General features: G+C 38.6%; 1 long non-coding RNA gene across 2 annotated transcripts in view; it reads left to right on the top strand.

The window, feature by feature from the left end:
- Positions 1-6,375: 6,375 nt before the first annotated feature.
- Positions 6,376-20,453, top strand: part of LOC105374822 (uncharacterized) — a 30,622-nt gene continuing 16,544 nt past the window's right edge. The window contains exons 1-2 of one of the 2 annotated variants that reach the window (XR_940276.3): positions 6,376-6,745; positions 17,997-18,091. This is a non-coding gene — a long non-coding RNA (uncharacterized LOC105374822). The remainder of the gene's footprint in view (positions 6,746-17,996; positions 18,092-20,453) is intronic. The other variant, XR_940278.2, reaches the window with a different exon arrangement.

Here is a 20,453-nt window from a genome sequence, read left to right as displayed (position 1 = left end):
GGCACAGGAGCCTAGAGTAGTTCAATGTGACCTCAGAGAAGCCTACAAGGGACAGAGGTGGGAGACTGATGTGGAGGCGTAGCCAGGGCCGCCTTATGCTGGGCCGTATAAGCCATGCTAGGAGTTACATGGGGTTAACCATTGCTAGCGGTTAACCCTCAAGTGTAAGGCAGCCACTGAAGGATTTTAATTCCATATGTGATGTGGTTAGAAGTGCATCTTGAAAGGATAGCCTTGACTACAAAGGGAGAAAATATTAGAGACTCTTATGACTTTTCACTCCTATTCTCTGGTAATATTTTTATTTCAAAATCTTTGGCTTAGTGAGCTACCTCCAAGACATTAGAGGGAGGTAAAGATCATACCGTGGCTGTAGCTATGAAACTACAATCAGAGGAAATGGGGAGAATATTTTCAGTTGTAGCTGAAAGAATAAATTATAATATCATAAATGTTAGCTTTGAAAAACTGAGGCAGTCTATAAAATTATAGGCTCCTATTACTCTTAATGTAGTGCCACAAACTCCAAGAAAGTTCAGTTGGAAAAGAACAAAAGAGAGAAACAATGCATTATAATATTACTAATAGTATTCCATATTTACGTAGCAATTAAAGATTTTCAAAACGTCTTCACCACAATTATTGGACATAATTATCATAACTTTTACACGTGGGCTGAATAAATATTTCTATTTCTGTTTGACGGACCAGTACCTCTACCTTTTGCTTTGGGGAACCATTTTAACTATTTTAAGCTATGTGGCTTGTATAGAAATGACCCACTTTTCAGTCTCTGGAGTGGGGCCTAATTGATAGAAGCCAATCAGCATCAGTGATTGGCTCACGGACAAGACGATGATAAGCTAGATATTGCCAATAAAATGTAAAGGTATATTTCCTGAGGACTGTTTTGTTTGGGTTTTGGTTTTGAGAGAGAGAGATTCTTTTTTTGTTTAGGGACGACTGCAGGAGACTCTTCTCTTCCTGTGAAGAGGTGTGAAAAAGAAATGTGAGTTTTTGAACTGTGTCAACCATTCTAATCAGCTCAGAAAAAGTTGCTGGAGCTGCTGGGAAATCAACATATGAAAATTGAAAGTGAAGTTGAAATTATGGAAGGCAGGATGGAAAAGAAACTTGATCTCTAGTGACATTGTTTGAAATGTTGATTGAATTTTGCCTGAAGCCTGGGTTACCTGAGGACTTCGCAGTTCTGTAAGCCAGTAATTTTTTCTTATTGTTTAAGCCAGTTTGAATTGGATTTTCTATCACCTTCACCTGAAAGAGGCGCAAGCAATAGACAGTAACCAGAGATAACTGAAGCAAAGGGTGAATTCCTTATGTTCAGTGCAAGAGACAGAAATAGCTGTCATAATAATCAAGACAGAAAGTTATTTTTCCTATCAAACTCAAGAATTTTAGAAATAATCAATCCAGGTCTGGCATAATGCTCTCGGGGAACCAAGATCCTCTATCTTTTGCTCTGTCATGCAAAATTTCCATTCCCAAGATTACCTCATGGTCCAAGATGCTTGTTGGAGCTCCAGCCATTATGTCTACCTTCCAAGAAATAGGAAAAGAGAGGAAAAAAGAAGGCATGCCTTCGTCGTGAGGACACGTTTTAGAATTTATGCATATCACTTGTGCTTACATCCAAACGACTCAAACTTAATTGCACAGCCCAACCTAGATGCCTAAATATATATGAGAAATACAGATTTTATTCTGCTTGGCAACAAGGCAAACTAAAATTGGGGCCCTATTACTTCAGAAGAAGAGAACAAATAATAACTGGGGACAATTGGTACACACAGAGACAGAAGAATATTAGAAGTTCACAGAACTGAGAGGAGAACCAGGCATGGAAAAAGGCAATTTTGGAAGGCTAGGAGGTAAAATCATAAGAATGGTCTTTAGGGAGAATGCAATGGGATTCATCTGATACTTTTATCCATGTCCCCCTGATCAGGAGTCAAAGCTCTGGGCAAGAGCAAGTAGGCTGAGCGTGGATCACATGCTGTCCTCATGGTTGTGCAGAGGTGGTGAGAGGAGGAACCTGCCCGTTGGGCTTCTAGGCACCTGGGTTTACCTTCCCACTGTGACTACAGCCAGTGAGGGAGAGAGAATTCTCCAAAACAAATAGGGCACTACTATGTGAGGAATGAAAGTTGTAAGGTAAATTAATAATAATAATAATAATAATAGTGGTAATAATAATACTGTGTTTTCCCCAGGAAACACAGGTAGCTGGAGTCAAAACCAGGAATAGGACCCAGCTTTTTCAATATCCAGTTCAGTGCTTTTTCCATTTTACAACTCTTTCTGAAGTCTGTATCACTCATAAAGGGAGCTAAAATATTACTATTCCTACTGCTGCTGCTGCCACTTTAATAGGCATTATCTCATCTTAATTTTTGTATTTTTTTTCTCTTACCACAGCCCTAGGCTCTAGATAATACATATACCAGTATTCTTCAGATAAGGAGACCAAGGAAAAATTATGACTTGCAGCAGGACTTGAGCACAGAGTTTTAAAATTTCTATTTCAGTACTTATCCTACTAGGACAATGGTTCTAAACTGAGGGTGTTTTTCCCCCTGCTATTCCCTCTCATTCCACTAGAAATGTTTGGCCTTCTAGGAGACATTTTGGTGGTCACAACTGGTTGGAAGGTGCTACTGTCATTTAGTGGGTGGAGCCAACAGATGCTGCTAAACAATGTACAGTGTATAGGACAGGACAGTTTTCCACAATAAAATGCAAATAAGGCCAAAGATGAGAAACCGTGTATTAGGGCAAAGGAAGGAAGGTAGAATATTTATTTTCTGATAACTTTTAGCACAGAGAGTCTAGCCCAGTTCTCTTTTGTGGGTAAAGAACATACATTAGCAAGCATATGACTCCATAACATGGTGCTGCAGCCCAGTTCTGAAGCCTTTTATCTTTTAGTGGGTGTTGTGGACACCCAGAGCAGCCCCATTGTATCAGTGTGGGATCAGTGTGGAAGCCCCATTGTATCAGTTTGGAATCATGCCTTTTCCACTTCTCATGACCCTGTAACATAGTGGGTAAGATAACAGCCTTTGGGATCAAACTTGGATTTGCGTGCCAGCTCTGACATTGACTAGCCATGTGGCATTGGACTAGTACTGAACTCAACTGTAAAATGGGAATGACAATGTTTGCCTACCTCAGAAGTGCCATAAAGAGATTAAATTAAATACAGCCTTCAGAGCATTTGACACATAGCAAGTGCTTAGTAAAATTTAGATATTTTTGGTTATTTAGTAAACTTGCTTTGGCCTACTTAGGAAAACAAAATTAAACATTGGTTTGACACTGTATCCCCAAATATATTAATGTCAGTTCATATCAGGTCATTTTTCTCTCTGATCTCTGTATTTCACTGCCTCATCCCCACCAGGTATATAACAAAGAAATATCACAATGTTGTTTTACTGTTATGAGAGGAATTTTTCACATGTTTTTGCTTTTACTTTTAAAAATGTATTTCTGGGCTGATAAACTTTTTTTGAAAGTTCTGAGGAGCAGCTCAAGTGTCATGAATGAAACCAGACAAGACTCTGATGTCCATTCATTTGCCTCCATTGAAAGTGGGTTAATGGAAGTTTCAGTGTCACCAACCACAAATTCCCCCTTAAACCAGAGAATAGGGCTTGTTGCTTTCAAGGTTTCTTATTTAACTCTTCACATACTCTTTGATGGCCTTGCCGTAAATTGTTTTCAACTTTAAACAAAGGTATAACGGTAGGTGAATATATCAACACTTAAATGGTACTGGCACTCTAGGCGTATTCCTGAACCTGAAGGCTCATGTTTCAGACAGGACTTCATATGTGTGGGAGCAGTCCTCTCATAGAATGGGCATCACAGAAATTAGGGTACTACATAGGAAAGAATGGAGAAGGAAGACCAAGGAGAGTTTTAAAGTATAGTTGGCATTTAATATAGGTCTTGGTAAATACGATGACATTTTTATGCAGTGAAGATGTCAAAAGTCACTATAGACAGACGAGAATCCTAAATGTAAAGATAGTCTGGGACAGGCTTGGGTAATGGCAGAAGTTAAGGTATTCAGCAAGATATAACTTGGCAGGGTGAGTTGACAATTACAGGGCAGATGAGAAAGAAACATTAGGAGAAAAGAGTGAGACGTAGGAGGTAATGAAAAAAGAAGCCTTCTCCAAGAAAAGTATCATACATCATTTTGATTCAAATGGCCTGGACCGCCTGTGTACACTTATTTTGCATTCTGACACTCAGTATGCTGCTCACAGCTTGAGTGTAGGGCTTGGGCCTGGAGAGAAAACAAAGAGTGGGCAGAATGTACCCCATAGAGCATGTCCCATAGATGATGGGTATGCCTTCTGACTCTGAGCAGCCTCAGTCTATTTAATATTAATGGGCCAGGCATGGTGGCTCACACCTGTAATCCCAGCCCTTTGGGAGGCCAAGGCAGCTGGATGATGAGGTCAGGAGGTCGACACCATCTTGACCAACATGGTGAAACCCTGTCTCTACTAAAATACAAAAAATTAGCTGGGCGTGGTGGCGCGTGCCTGTAATCCCAGCTACTTGGGAGGCTGAGGCAGAGGAATCACTTGAACCTGGGAGGTGGAGGTTGCGGTGAGCTGAGATCATGCCACTGCACTCCAGCCTGGTGACAGAGCAAGACTCCATCTCAAAAACCAAACAAAAAACATTAATGAAAGAAACACTTTAGATCAAGAAACTAGGATGTAAATGAAAGCAATACAATTTAATGTAAATGAAAACTGTATCACTCTGACTTCATGATAGAAATACATCGATTTATCTAATGAAAAATAATGTGATTTAAAAGGATTCATTAATATATGCACTATTCACAAACAAATGTTCATTGAGGTTTTGTTTTGTTTTGTTTGAGACAGAGTTTTGCTCTTGTTGCCCAGGCTAGAGTGCAATGGCACGATCTCAGCTCACTGCATCCTTCAGCTCCTGGGTTCAAGCAATTCTCCTGCCTCAGCCTCCCGAGTAGCAGGGATTACAGGCATGTGCCACCATGCCCTGCTAATTTTGTATTTTTAGTAGAGATGGGGTTTCTCCATGTTGGTCAGGCTAGTCTCGAACTCCTACCCTCAGGTGATCTGCCCGCCTCAGCCACCCAAACTGCGGGGATTACAGGTATTGAGCATTTTATTGTAGGCACTAGGCTAGGTGCTGAGGACAGAAGAGTGAGTGAAAGATATATTCCCTGCCTTCATACAGCTTACTGTCAAGTGCAGAACACACACGCACATACACACACACACACCCTAAGGATGAATGCCATGGATGAGTATTTTGGAAGGTAAGTACAAGGTCCTATGGACATGTATTAATTTTGTATTGCTGTATAACTAGTTACCACAAATGCATCAGCTTAAAGCAACATCCACTTAATAGCTCACAGTTTTGTAGGTCACAAATCCGGGTGTGGCATGACTAGGTTCTTTGCTCAGGGTCTCATAACATGGCTAAATCAAGTCATTGCGAAGCTGCATTCTCATCTGGAGTTTGGGGTACTTTTCCAAGCTCATGTGGTTGGTTATAGCAGCACCCAGTGTCTTGCAGCTGGAGGAATAAGGTCCTCATTTCTTTGCTGGCTGTCAATGACGGGGTGGCTCTCAGCCCATATTCCATGCCATATGGGGCCTCTCCACCTCCAAAGCCAGCAGTGGATGATCTCTCATTTTAAATGCCCCACATCCTTCAAATCTCTTTCTTCAGGAAGAGTCTAGTCCTTGTTAAGGGCTCATGTGAGTACCTCAGGTTTACTCAAGATAATCTGCTTTTCTTAAAGTGGATTGTGTCATATAACCCCATCACAGAACAGACTACCTTATCATATTCAAAGGTCCCAGGGATTATACACAGCATGTACTTTAGGGGGAAATTTGGGAGCCGTTATGTAATTCTGCCTACCACAGGGAGTATATAAATAGGATATCTAACTTAGATCGGAGTGCAGGCATGAGTAGGAACAGCCTCCTTAAAGAATGATAATCTTTAGCAAAGAGAAAGGTCACTGATTCAGGCCTAAACAGCAGAGTGAGGCACTGCCTTTACATTTGCAAATGAGAGTGGTAGAATTTGCCAAATCTCTGACTCTTCATTCATATCCATGCCACCTTGTTCTCTGCCATGACTAGCTGATACCTAAATCTTCTAGACAAAATGATCCCATTTTCTTCACCTGTGTTATCCACCTAAAATCAAAGGGAGACAAAGTCCAGGAAGCCCTGAAGAAGGTTGCAGAAATTGAGGGTCTCCACCCAATCCCACCATCAGACCGCATCACCTCTGTTTGGAATCTTGTCCAAGTTGGTACCCATTGAAACCGTTTTTCTGACTGATATTTAAGTCTGTGAGGAAAGGCTTTGCTGTGTTTCCTCTGCAGAGAAAGTGCCCAGGTAACAGAGATGACTCAAAATCATGTACATTAGCAGTCAGATCAGACAAACCAAAGCCTCACGGTGTGCCCACGTCGGAACTCCTTCTCCTAGCATTTTTCTGGGTCAGCCTGGATTGAGACACACTGGCCTTTAGAACTTGAATAAAATGCCGTTTCACTCATTGCCATCTTCGATAGTTGGTAGAAGGTGATTGCAGTTCCAAGTGGTGTCACCATTTTAGTGAGTGCATTGTGAAGGGATAAGTAAGCAGAGATGCAAAACCTCTTCCACTTCTTTTCCATGAAGCACAGGTAATTCATTTACATTTGACTATATTCTAATAGCTGTAAATTCATCCAGCTAAGAAAATGAGATGACCAGACCATGCCCCCTTTACTTTGGTGTCTGAGCATGATTTGCTGAAAGCTGCAGTATTAGACAAAACAGCTGATATTACTGGCAGGTCTTTGGGAGCACTATCTTTTGCTTTTAACTTCATGTAAAAGAAAAAATAAAGATGAATAAAATTGCCTTGAATATTTCCAATAAGCATAGGGGCAAAAAGTCTTTCTCACATGTAGAGCAGATAGTACCAAGGCCCTGTGCCACATCTGAAGTGTGTCTGTCCCTCTGCATTTGAAGTATGTCACGTTGTTTAGTGTGAGCTTCCCCAGCTGAATCCTAACAATGAACTCAGCCCCATTACCTCCATTCAATCCTCTTAACAATCTGTGGGGTATAAACTGGAGTTACCTTTATTTGAAGATGAGAAGGTGGGGGCCCAGAGAGGTTAAATAAGCATGGCTAGTCACACAGGATTAAACCGCATTCTCAGGAGCTTCATGCTAACCCTACTCAGTTTTCTGCTGTAGGCCATCTTCCTATCTCAATAACAGCTTAGATCTGTTGAGCACTGACTATGTGCCAGGTATCTTTTTAAAAAATAATTTCAACTTTTATTTTTGATTCAAGGGGACTTGTGCAGGTTTGTTACGTGGGTATATTACATGATGCTGAGGTTTGTTGTACAAATGGTCCCATCGCCCAAGTAGCGAGAATAGTACCCAATAGGTGGTTCTTCAATCCTTGCCTCCCTTCCTCTTTCCCCCTTCCAGTAGTCACCAGTGTTTATTGTTCCCATGTTTATGTCCATGTGTACTCAATGTTTAGCTCCCTCTTATAAATGAGAACATGTGGTGTTTGGTTTTCTGTTTCTGCATTAATTAGCTTAGGACAGTGGCCTCCAGCTGCATCCACATTGCTGCAAAGAATGTGATGTGCCAGGTATCTTTTTAAGGGCTTCACATATATTAGCTTAAGTTTTACAATAACCTTGTGAAGTGTTGCTGTTATGAGTCCCGTTTTACCCATAAGAAAACTGAGTTGTGAAAATGGTAAGTAACTTATCTAAGGTCAGGCAGCGAATAAGGTCTTGAACCAGGTAGTCTGGCTCCAGAGTCTTCTACACATTCCAGGTTTGTACTCCCCTATTTATGGCTGTTTAATTTCTACCTTCCATTAAGAAGAAATTAAAGGCACGCCATGCAACCACGTTGATTCAAAGTATTACTCAGCCTCCCAAGAAAGGTGATTTCTGAGTATATTTTCAGAGTAGTTTCGCTGTAGAGATGATGAGTTTTTTTTAAAAAAAATATATGATAAAACCACATACTCTTGTAGCTATTAATGTGTTTTAGAGAATTATAGTGAATATTTGATTATGCTTATTTGAACATGGATTTAATTTTTAATTAGAATGTTCTCTTGGCTAATTGCTTAGTAAATCTACCTTTAAGTAATAAATGATGTTTGGGACATTATTGATAATAAGCCAAATATCCTATTACAACAGCATTTTATATTATTTAAATGTAAGTTCTGTGTATCACTAAATTGAATTTTAAAAAACTTATTTAAAATGAAATACATTTTCCTCTTAAAATTGAACAAAAGATGATATTTACTTTAATAACCATCAGGAACGTTTATTAACAGTATGTATCTCCTGTTGATGTGGCATCCTGTTCACGGCATTTCTTTTATATTCCTAAAGAGGTTTTTCCGAGGCACACCAACTATGTTTTCCCTTTGAATAACATATGAGCATTAGCTTTTTTTCCCGAGTGTCTTATTTCTTAGTTCTCCTAATTTCTGTTTGTTTCTCTTTCAATTCTGTATGTGCTATTTAGATACTGCTTGCTTTGCAGTTATTTTTACTCAGGGAGGTAAAACTTGCAAGCATAAATCCCTCTAGAACCAGGTTGAGAGAAAGACCTTAAGGTTGGGAAGATTTTATATGGAAGTGGCTTTGAATTTTTTTGAGTGTAGTCCTTCTTCTGATTTGGTAACCCTGGGGAAAGGTTTAGCCAATGCGTTCAGTAACAAATGTCAGTTTTGGTTTCCTTTCTGCTGCCAAGTATAAGTTGAGAGATTCATGACACAAAGAAAAATAAAATAGTGGTAGCCATAAGAATATAAGATTAATGGGAGTTTTTGATGCAGTATACAATTTGAAGCTACTAAATTATCCATAGCCAGGCTCCAAGAGGTAGTGTGGGCATAAAGCTTTGCTGAGAGGATGAAGAAAAGGACCCCATTTCTTTACAAAACACATACTACTCTAATCAGCTACTGTATGAAATGCTTTGACAGGCAAAGTTCCCCTCCCCTTTCTTTCTTCACAAGGAAAGCAGGGCATTAGCTTTTGTGTACTTGACTGAGGAAAAGTCAAAGACTGCAAATCAAAGTGATTTGTCCATAATCATATTGCATTTTCTTGCCGAAGGGTATATTTTAAATGGAGGAATGGCAGAACTCTGCAAGGAAGTAGGGCAGTGCTATGGAGGAGTACACTGCCTTCCCCCAATTCAGTGCTCCAGCGTGGACCTCACACGTATGTCTTTAAACGGAAGATGTTCCCTAAAGCATCTAGTCCTTTAACACATTTTCAAAGGGAAATGTCTTGCACCCATTTAATGTCTTAAAATGGGACAAAACTAGGTTCAAATTTGGTAGTAAGGAAAGAGCAAGGAAATCGTGAGGGGAAGTTTGGAGACCTGGGATGAGATTTTGTTTAGGGAGAAGGTTCTATGCTGCTGGCACTGGGCTGTCCTGAGGACTCCCTCTAGTTATACTAATTGGCTCACACTGTGTGTGTGTGTATTTGTTTGTGTATGAGAGAGAGAGAGAGTGTGTGTGTGTATTTTGTTCCTCAGAACTCCTTTCAAAGTCATTAGAAGTATTTATAATCAAGAATCTCAAGATAGTTACCTTACCCTACTTAATCTATTAACGTTAATTTCCTTTTTAAAATACTCAACAAGTATTCAGCTAGAATCTTAACATCTCCATTTAATTTTAGGGTAGTCTGGTAAGAATGCTCTGCCTCTCTACCCTCGCAGAATTAATTATCTTTTATTAACTTATTCATCAAATGTTTACGAATGTCTTTTGTTACCAAGATAAGGAGTTTTCTCTTATTGCACAATTCCTTAGGGGCTCAGGGTAATATAAAAAAGGCAAAGATATTTGTACAACTTAGAAGGTTTTATTGAGCCCTCAGAGCCTGTGAACCTCATGAGAGCAAGCAATGTGATGTCCCAAGCCTCATTCAGAGGAGGAATTTCAGGGATTTTATAGAGGTGTTCACTCATTATTACAACGCATTCTCTCCACGTCCTCTCAATTGCTGCCACCACACAAACATTGCCAGACCACCATTTACCCATAATGAAACGACAGATTTACTATCAAAAGAAGCAAGAGAGTCTTCTGGTGATTTTAGACTTAAAGATCTTGCCTTTTGACTTGAATTTCTTGGCATTTTAATTATGTACTTGGTTTTCAGCTCTTGATCAACCTGTTCTCTTCTAATTCGCCAGTGGTGTCTTTAGAGGTGGAGTACTGAACAGGGCACACTATTGCATGTGACAGTGAGAATCTTGCTTCGAGGTTATAGGCACTGTGATTTTATTTCAGTAACTGACTTGTCATTGCCTACTTTGATATCTCCACGCCACGGTCTGCAGAGACCTATTGCCTTCCTTTCCACTGTGTTCTCTAAAGTGAACTCTTGATATGGATAATTGACCGTCAGTAATTTTCACTCCAATACTGTTGCACTTAGTTTTTGGTTCCCAGAGGAGTTTTATTTGTCCCTATTAACATTTCATATTATTCAGTACTTGCAGGCGCTGATTCTGCAGTCAAACCAGTGAGATCTTATTTCTCATTTGCTGCCATTTTATAATTTGGTAAACATTTTCCCTTTTGGGATATTAATACAAAGCAGCTACTAGTTGTACAAGTGGCTATCAATCCATTAAGCATTTCCCACTGAGTGTATGGTTGAATTATGTATACTTTAAAGTTACTCATTCATGTTTCTTCAACTTATCCACAAGTCTAATAAACAGGCCTTGTCCAATGTCTGGCTAAAATCCAAATGCTTTATGTTTACACAAATATCTTATCAATCTAATTATCTTTCAAAATGAAATACAGCTTTGGGGTACATAGGGATGCATTTTTATGACTTCAAAGGAGGCTTATGGCAGTAAGGCCTGGTTGAACTTCGGTTGATTTACATTCAATTTCATGAGTCTTTCTAAATCAAAATCCAAATAATCTTACATTGAAAGGAAATCCTCCTAGAGTCTAGTGCTATTCTATGTATATATCTTAATTTTTAGCAGTATTTTTTGATAGTACTTTTTGCCTTTCCCCTTGTTCTAATTGACAGGAGAGTGTTTATTTGGGGATGATTGCATTGCATTGGAGACACTATTTTAACCCAGAAGTACAAGTCTCTATATTTCTCATGGTGCTGTATCTTACTACGTAAGTTTGTACATGATAGAGGAGTCAGACAATAATGGGTTCAAATATCATTTCAAACACTTATTGGTGGTATAATATTAAACAAGCTACTTGTCTTAACTTCAGTTTCTCAAATGGAGTTAATATTCACTTCAAACTTACAGGATCACTATAGTGTTACATTTGATTAGAGAGACAGAGAGAAGCTCTCAATCTGCTAGTATGTTTATGATGATTGAATCCTAATATGTCCCTCAGTGTTATCCTTTTAATTTAGAAAAGTAACCTTCATAGGATTACACATAGAACCTTCCCAACATGCATGACTGCACTGCAAAATGTGTGAATTCAGCAAAGTCCTTCTGAATACCCTTGGATCTTTGTGGAGTTGGAAAAAGACCTGGTTGCATTGCCACGCCGCGTGCTGTGATGCAGTGGAATGTGCTGACTGCACTGGCTGTGCTGTCACACTTCATCCTCTGCCATACATCAACTGCATTGAAGAAAGCATAGTTCCTCTTGGTTGAGTGGCCTTTGGTTATCATTGCACTTTGTCTTCAATTTTGATGTCATTTCCTAAACGCAATTCACAATCATTCATGCAATAATGGCATCTTATAGTTGTAGAACATGTCTATACATTTTTTTCCATACTACTTTCTCATCTATTATCATATTTGCTTCACACAACATCATTTAATAAGTTATTATTCATCCATTACTGATGAAAAAACTGAGGCTCTGACAAGTTAAATATTACGCTTTAGTTCACATCATTTAATTTTTATTGGAGACAGAATGTTGATTCAGGGCTGCTTCCAAATATCATAGTATCTTTCTTTTTATTGTCCTTAGGTAAACTGCAAATCCCTTAAAATGAAAAGGCAGAGTTTTGGTGATCTGGCTTTCTCCTACCCCATTCTATCTTCTCTCAATCCATTCTATGTTCTAAATATTTTGACTGTTTTTCAACCCGTGGAACACTTTTGCTATTTTGGGGATTCAAGTGAGATATCATTTACTCTGGGAAGTCTTTTCTGAACTTCCTCTCAGTTATCTCTGGATTCCATAGTTTTCCCATATATCCTCAAGACATCCTGTTTATCTCATTTTATAATCTGTAATCAGATGTATTAAAATTGTTATTCATTCTCTGCCCACTAGTGCGTGTCTGGCACATAGCACAGTGCATGGCACATGGCAGACGCTGTACTTAACATACACTTGTTGAATGAATGAATGAATGAATGAATGATTTACTTGTTACTGCTCTACTTGCTCTCCAATGCTGTTGGCACGTCCATCTTGCAGAATCGTGACCCCAAAGTCATTAACCCTCAATAAAAAGTATGGCCTATGTGTGTGTGAGGCCAAATAGATGGAAGAGATAGAAAATGCATTACAGAGCATGAAACTTCTATGATGACATAAATAAAAAATCCTATGACACATAGATGTTTCTTTAGAAGTCTTTTTATTTTTATTTCCTCCAAATTCATAAAGACTATAGGCTTATTGGTTAAAGCTGTAATTTTTGCACATTGCCTATTCATATTTCAAACAAAGTGCTTCTGCTCGTTTGAACTCTGCTGTTCATTTGAAATTTATTTCCCGAAGGCCTAATACTGTGCATAGCCCATAGTATGTGTTCAACTCAATACCTGTTTAAACAAAAAAAATTGTTTAAAAAATACTACTTACCTTCACATGTATTCGCTTTTTAAGCTGAGTATCTAAATTGGTTGCTATGATGACAATTCTCAGCGTTGAGTTAGGTGTTTCATATCATAGATGCATATTTTGTGACATTTTATTTCAGGATATCCAAAGAGTGACTATTGTATGTGGGGGATGGAAATCACCATGAGACACAAATACCTCTTACTTTTTCACATAATACTAGCTTTTTGTATTTCTATAGGCTTTTAGCAGGAGGAGTATTCAGGTTTTGTGCAACAGGTTTATACAACTTTGGGGGTCCTCTTTATGAAAAATAATACAGAACTTTGAAAGTAAATATAGGGTCTTTAAAGTGACCTAGGGTCGAGTGGCAATGAGGTGTCCTGAAGCTTCAACTTCCTGCACTTCCTGGTCCATTTGCTTATTGTCTGAGCTTATTGTCTGTATTATTAGATCTGCCATAAATCCTTTATTTACTTGAGCAGGGGTATTGACTGATTCAATGATTTTGCTAAGATGCAACAAATTTTATTTTTCCAAGATATGCTCTCCAATATTTAGCCTCCACTTTTAATGTTGCTTTAATTTTTTAAATGTCTCTTTACTTACACTACTTCTTAAGAGTAGACCTGCCGTTATTCTTGAAACGAGCTGAAATACATTACATTACATCTGATCTGCAAGAGGATACAGTGGGAAGACTCATTTTTTGAAGGTCAATAGACTTCTAAAAGTCTCTGTGGTATCTTTTAGAAAATTAGTATTTCAGTGCAACTAATGGAGCCCATGGCACCTATGAGTGGACCTGAAGTTATTGTTTTAAGTGCCTTCAGTATGCATGTTGTGTCATTATGGACACAGATTTGATAGTTCATATGGGAGAGGTGTTTTTTGGATAAATTTGGCCTGTGTAGGGGTTGGTGGTAATAACTTCGAATGTTTACATGATTATTAAAGCTAGATGAAATTTCACAGTAAGATAATTGGGGACTTCAGCCTACAGTTCTCTGGCATAAGTATCAGGTCTTTTTGGCTGATCAATTACCAATCTGCCCCACTGCCATCCATCAGCTTTGGTATTTGAAAGTACATCTTCAATTCTCTTATGGTTTCTGAGGAAAAGTTCTTTTGGGGCTTAGTGTGGTGGTTCACCCCTGTAATCTCAGCACTTTCGGAGGCCGAGGCAGGTGGATCACCTGAGGTCAGGCGTTCAAGACCAGCCTGGCCAAACCTCGTTTAGTAGAAACCTCATCTCTACTAAAAATACAAAAATTGGCTGGGCATGGTGGTGGATGCCTGTAATCCCAGCTACTCAGGAGGCTGAGGCAGGAGAATCACTTGAACCTGGGAGACAGAGGTTGCAGTGAGCTGAGATGGCGCCATTGCATTCCAGCCTGGGAAACAGAGCAAATACTCCATCTCCCAAAAAAAAAAAAAAAAAAAAAAAAAAAAAAAAGTTCTTTTGGGTGGAATCTTTTCAAGAAAATGCAGAGCTAGACCCTTTCTGTGGGATCCTCAAATGGTCCTCAACAATTGCATGCAATTGCACCAATGTAGTAGAACTATAGTAGTTCACTCTCCAGAAGGCCCTATTACTTTTCCTCTCAGAAGTCACCTCAAAGCGAAAAGGAGAATGGAATGCAGAAATGAAAGTTTAAATGTAAGCAAACAAACAAACTAGGTGACATTCACAACAATGTATCATATAAAAGGAAGGTTAGACAAGTGATGTGATGTGCTGCATGGACTCCCCACCCAGGAAGTAACAGCCTGTTTGCTTAATTTCTGGGAGACTGTCCTCAGCTCTCAGTCTCACCTGGTTAGCCTTGGCCAGAGTTGGCTATCTCCCCCAAGATCACGTCCCTTTCTGGGGTAGCCAGCATCCTGTGACCTGTGATGTGGGTAAGGGAATATAAAGGCCCGGCTCCCAACTGCAATGGGGAACAGCTTTTATGCTCCAGCTGAATTTCAGAGCTCCTTATAGGGTCAGCTGAATTCTTGTTATGCCTTTACCATAACCTGATTTCTCTCTCTGCCTTCCCTGCATGTTCTGATTCTGAGTTCAAACTTCCTGCACACTGATTTTAGTCTCAGAATTAACAACTTTAAGTGAAACAATGTAAAACAAAACCAATTTTACCATGGGCTAACTGGTGTAAAAAAAACATACTCCAGTGGCATATTTCTGGTCACAAAAACATCACCAAACTTCTAAATAAAGACCCAACACATTTCTAATGTTAAAAATTGAGCTATACATATATTTAAGAAAAGAAGAATCAAAACAAGTAAGGTAAGGATTTACCCAATTTTGGTGAATTGGTGAATGAGAGCAGTCATGGTGGTGATAAATTAAATCAAGGAATCGGTGTTTACAAAACAAAAATTTTAAAGATCACTTCCTTCCACCAAGAAGCTAGAAAACAACCAATAACAAATATGGTGGCTTGCTAAGCACTCTTGGACTACATTGTTTATTGTAGTGCATTTGTAGAATTATAGTATACTTGACAAATGTTTACTTGTCAATCATTTGTATTCATTTTTAAACCCACTTATTCCATTTCAGGGTGGAGGTGGCCAGGGCCTATCCCAGCAGATCAGGGCACAAGAACAGAACCAGCCCTGGCCAGGACACCATTCCATCATAGGGTGCACTCATACACTCACACTCACTGAGAATGGGACTATATAGACAAACCAATTCACCTAATGGGAACATCTCTGGGATGTAGGAGGAAATTAGAGTACCCGAAGAAAACCCACTCAGACAAGGGGAGAATGTGCTAACTGCACACAGACCGTGGCCCTGGCCCGGAATCAATTTTTTCTCATCAATATTATAACAACGATGTTGAAGGAAACATTCAGGGGCTCAGTGAATAAACAGAGGGCTTGCCTTCAAGCAGCTTACCATTTAATTGTGGTTACATAGTCAATACATAGAAACCAGTAAAAGATCTCTCCATCTGCACAGAAAGTATATAAGGGGTTATAAACAATAGAGAGTGGGTACAGAAGGGGTTATAAAAGGCAAATATTGCTGTGGAAGAGAACAGTTTTAGGAAAGAGGTAAGTCTTAACCTGTGTTTTGGAAGATGACTAAGGTTTGAATAGGAGGAGCAAGGTGAGTGAGAGGAATAGGGACCAAGCATGGGAGCAGTAGTGGGCTTAGAGTTCAGTAAGAAGACTGGGATGGTAGCAGCAGGGGACTGAGTCTGGAAAGTATTTCTATTTGGATATTAACATTTCTCTTAACCTTGTACAATTTGCTCTGAGCCCATAAGAAATGCCGTGAAATCTCAACTTGAACATTACCTCCACATTTATAAATAATGCCCTTAATCAATGTTGTTTTTCTTTATTTTCTTTCTCCATTAATGGTGGAAGTTAGAGCTATTGTCCTTGTGGAATAGTAATTTATCTTTGACATCAAAAAAGCTGATATGCACACCCCAGATGTTACTTTTAATGCTTTTATTAAAATGCAACACTAGACTTCTCTTGCATTGCTTATTTCAGATTGCTTATCCTTTGCATTTTGATGATAAAATATTTTATGACAATGGTAATTTAGATTGGTCTCTCCACATAGTGAGAAGGAGTAAAAATGTTTCATTTGAGCATTTGTCCGTGAGCAGTTTCGATCTACTTTTGGGAATTGTATTTTTCTTGGTAGCATTGATTGTTTACCTTAATTGTCTGTGATGGATTTGATTTCAACTCTCCTGGGAGGGATGATTGCTGAGTCCACTTAAAATTATAAATCACAATATGGAATGCCTTGCTTTAGACTTGAAGATAGCCAATAACTCAGGATTTTGTTGTGGCGCATCTGTTAATAGCATCACCACATCTCAAAAGGCCTTTTTGTTAAAATTGTTCAGTTAGGGTACTACCTGTTTCTTGGCTGAGAAGACTGAAACATAATACTAATTTGAAAGTGTATATTTTGGCATGTTTCATAATATTAATAAAGGTAGGATTTCATATACCTCACATTTTGGCAAAGAAGAAACACAAATCTGAGTGCACTTATTCTTCTGGGTTGATGGATAGAAAAAATGAATGTTCAAAAAGAAATTATAGAAGTGACTTTGTTGTAAGTGATAAAGGTCTATATGTCTTTTTCATATTATAGAATGTAATCACTCTATTTCTGGGATAATGAATAAAATAAATTTTATATCATGATTTTCTATTAACCTATTTTAGAACTTATTGAGAAATATGTATTTATTTACATATTGTATTTATTTAAGTATTGTATCTATTTATAGATTATATCTACATATGAATTATTTATATCGTAAAATAATACATATAAAATATTGAACTGCTAAAATTCAAAGAGCAATAATTTTTTAAAGATTGATAATCTTGCCCCCACAATAGCAACACAGATAATGTTTAAATGTATATTGTAGTCTGTTTTCTATGCTTATCTATGTATATTCTACCCATTTTTATCTCAAAACTCAGTACTGTACATTGTTTATTTAGTTTTGTAAGCTGCTTGTATCTAGTTTTGTTTGAACATGATTCTACCTCTGCACACCTAGACCTGCTTGCAAGATAAATGAACAGTACAGACAGACGTGGTCAGGTAGCCATAACTTGGATCAAAATATATGGAGTGACTTGTTGGGATAATGTTGGGATTTGGGTTAGATAAGACTTGAGAAAGTACTGGAAATGTTGGTAGGTGATTTCTCTTGCCGTAGCAATTATTATGTCATGTGTTACATCAACAAGCTTGGCATATCAAAAAGAATGGGAACAAAAATGTATGGAAAGAAAACATCAGGGATATCGTAATTTAGTAGAATTAATGACACAACAAAACAGGATATTCTTTTAGTGTGATGTGTTAAAATTTTCAGTTTCTTAGGGAAAAGATAAGAAAATGTAAAATTAGTGGATTGGCCTATCACAGGGTAAAATAGATGAGTATAGGTATCAGATGAGCTTTGGGCTAATGAGATACTTTACAGCTGGGTTAAAGGGTGGGGAGTAGGGGGATTCCCACAAGGCTAATGAACCACTGACCACCCTTGATTACAGCTTTCAGAAGAATTGAACTATAGTAAATGGCAGAGAGTCTAGCACAATTAAGTATTTCTAAACCAGGACTGAAAATGAAGAAATGATCACCATAGGTAAGGAAGGTGGGTTGAAAGTACATATCAATGGGATATGAGAACTTTAGAACTGGAAGTGCCTTACTGTGCCCTTTCATGAGAGGGCTTCCTCACCAGGCTGGCTTCTTAATTCTTTTTCTTTTATGGGGCCTTGCTGTGTTGCCCAGGCTGTTCTCCAACTCATGAGCTCAAGTGATGTTCCAGCTTCAGCCCCCCAAAGTGCTAGGATTACAGGCATGAGCCACTAAACCCAGCCCAGGCTGGCTTCTGCATGAGAATTGAGAGGGGTCTTCCATTCCTGGAGGTCACCCAAACTCCAGCCACTACTGTGGAGAGATGGAGTCAATAAGATCAGATTTGTTATTTAACTTAATTTGACCTTTGAACAATGTGGAAGTTAGGATGCTGACCTGTTGCTTAGTAAAAAATTCACAGATAACTTTTGACTTCCTCAGCATGTAACTACTAATAGGCTACTATTGACTGGAAGCCTTATCAATGTCATAAACAGTTGATTAACACATATTTTATATGTTATATGTATTATATACTATATTCTTACAATAAGATAAGCTAGAGAAAAGAAAATATTATTAAGAAAATCATAAAGAGAGAAAATATATTTACAGTTCATTAAGTGGAAGTGGATCATCATAAAGGCCTTTATCCCAGTTATCTTAAGAAAACTCGCATTAAATGAACCCATGCAGTTCAAACCAATGTGTTCAAGGGTCAAGCGTATATTTTGTTTACTTGTATAAGTCTTAGAAAGTTGTATATCTCATTTTAAATTAACACTGTGGTTATATATAAAAAATATTTATGCAATCTTTCTAAAAATATGAAATGTAAGAATGCAATAGTATCTTTTGAATTCCATCTACCTATATTGAGGGCCTTAGGTCTCCCTTATTTATTTATTTATTTATTTATTTATTTATTTTATTTTGAGACAGAGTCTTGCTCTGTCGCCCACACTGGAGTGCAGTGGCGTGATCTCGGCTCACTGAAACTTCCACCTCCCGGCTCACTGAAACTTCAACCTCCCGAGTAGCTGGGATTACAAGTGCATGCCACCAGGCCCAGCTAATTTTTTTTTTCTTTTGTATTTTTAGTAGAGACGGGATTTCACCATGTTGGTCAGGCTGGTCTGGGATTCCTGACCTCGTGATTCGCCTGCCTCAGCCTCCCAAAGTGCTGGGATTACAGGTGTGAGCCACCGCCCCTAGCCACTCCCTTATTTTTTTTATTTTTTTATGTTTTTATTTTTTTGAGACAGAGTCTCACTCTGTCACCCAGGCTGGAGTGCAGTGGCATGATCTCACCTCACTGCAATCTCCGCCCTCCAAGTTCAAGTGATTCTCCTGCCTCAGCCTCCTGAGTAGCTGGGATTACAAGTGCCTGCCACCGCACCTGGCTAATTTTTTGTATTTTTAGTACAGATGGGGTTTCACCATTTTGGCCAGGCTGGTCTTGAACTCCTGACCTTGTAAGCCACCCACCTCGGCCTCCCAAAGTCACTCCCTTATTTCTATACCTCCTGTCTTGATTCCAGATACTTGATAAGCTGGGAATTTACAATTTGATCAGAATTCTTAAATGATTAGTTTTTTTCATTACATAAATTTTCTGTTATGGATATTATTTAACATTTGTATTCACTCTTGAGCTCACAACTTTACTTTTTGCTTCTTAACATGGCTATCACCAGAATAATTCTGGTGTGGTGCAGGGCTGAGCATACCAGAAGAGCCAATTAGTACTCCTCATGATATTTAATGAAAAAAGTCCGTTACAAGGCACTGGAAGACACATCTCTGCAGGCAGTCTCCTACATTTCTCCTAATAATTTGTGTTTCTAACTGGAGAGAAGAGACTATAGTAGATGCTTTTATTTCAGTATTTCAGCTTCCCTAATTGTGGTGTCAGAAAGAATCTTGGAGGCACAGAGATAAATTGCAGACTAATGTGAAGGGAAGCTGATTAATTCTTGAACATTCAATAAGTTGAGTTTGCAGCTAGATTTTTATATGCTACAAAAGTGGAAAGTGGTAGGCTGATTTTCATGAGCAAATCCGTGTCTCTATCTCAAACTCAAGGAGCCTTGGATGCCTGAAGGATTGGTGCCACCCTCATTATTCAAAATTTCACTTAGTGTTTTGCCATGTAAGGTGAATTACTCTAGGTGGTGTGGGGTGCCCTTTGCCCTTCTATTAAGGGAGGTTATTATATGTGAATGAATTTGAGGAAACTCCAGGGGCCAGCTCACAGGGAAGAGTGGAACAAAGAGAACCTCAATCAAAAGTAAAGTTTCTGTGATATTTTAATGAGTCACGATTATTTTCTATCATGTCAATTATATTCCTTTCAACTCAATCTT

This window comes from Homo sapiens, chromosome 2 (genome assembly GCF_000001405.40).
Source record: "Homo sapiens chromosome 2, GRCh38.p14 Primary Assembly".
Classification (NCBI taxonomy): Eukaryota; Metazoa; Chordata; class Mammalia; order Primates; family Hominidae; genus Homo; species Homo sapiens.
The sequence above is the reverse complement of the archived record's forward strand: the minus strand, read 5'-3'. Positions and strand labels throughout refer to the sequence as shown.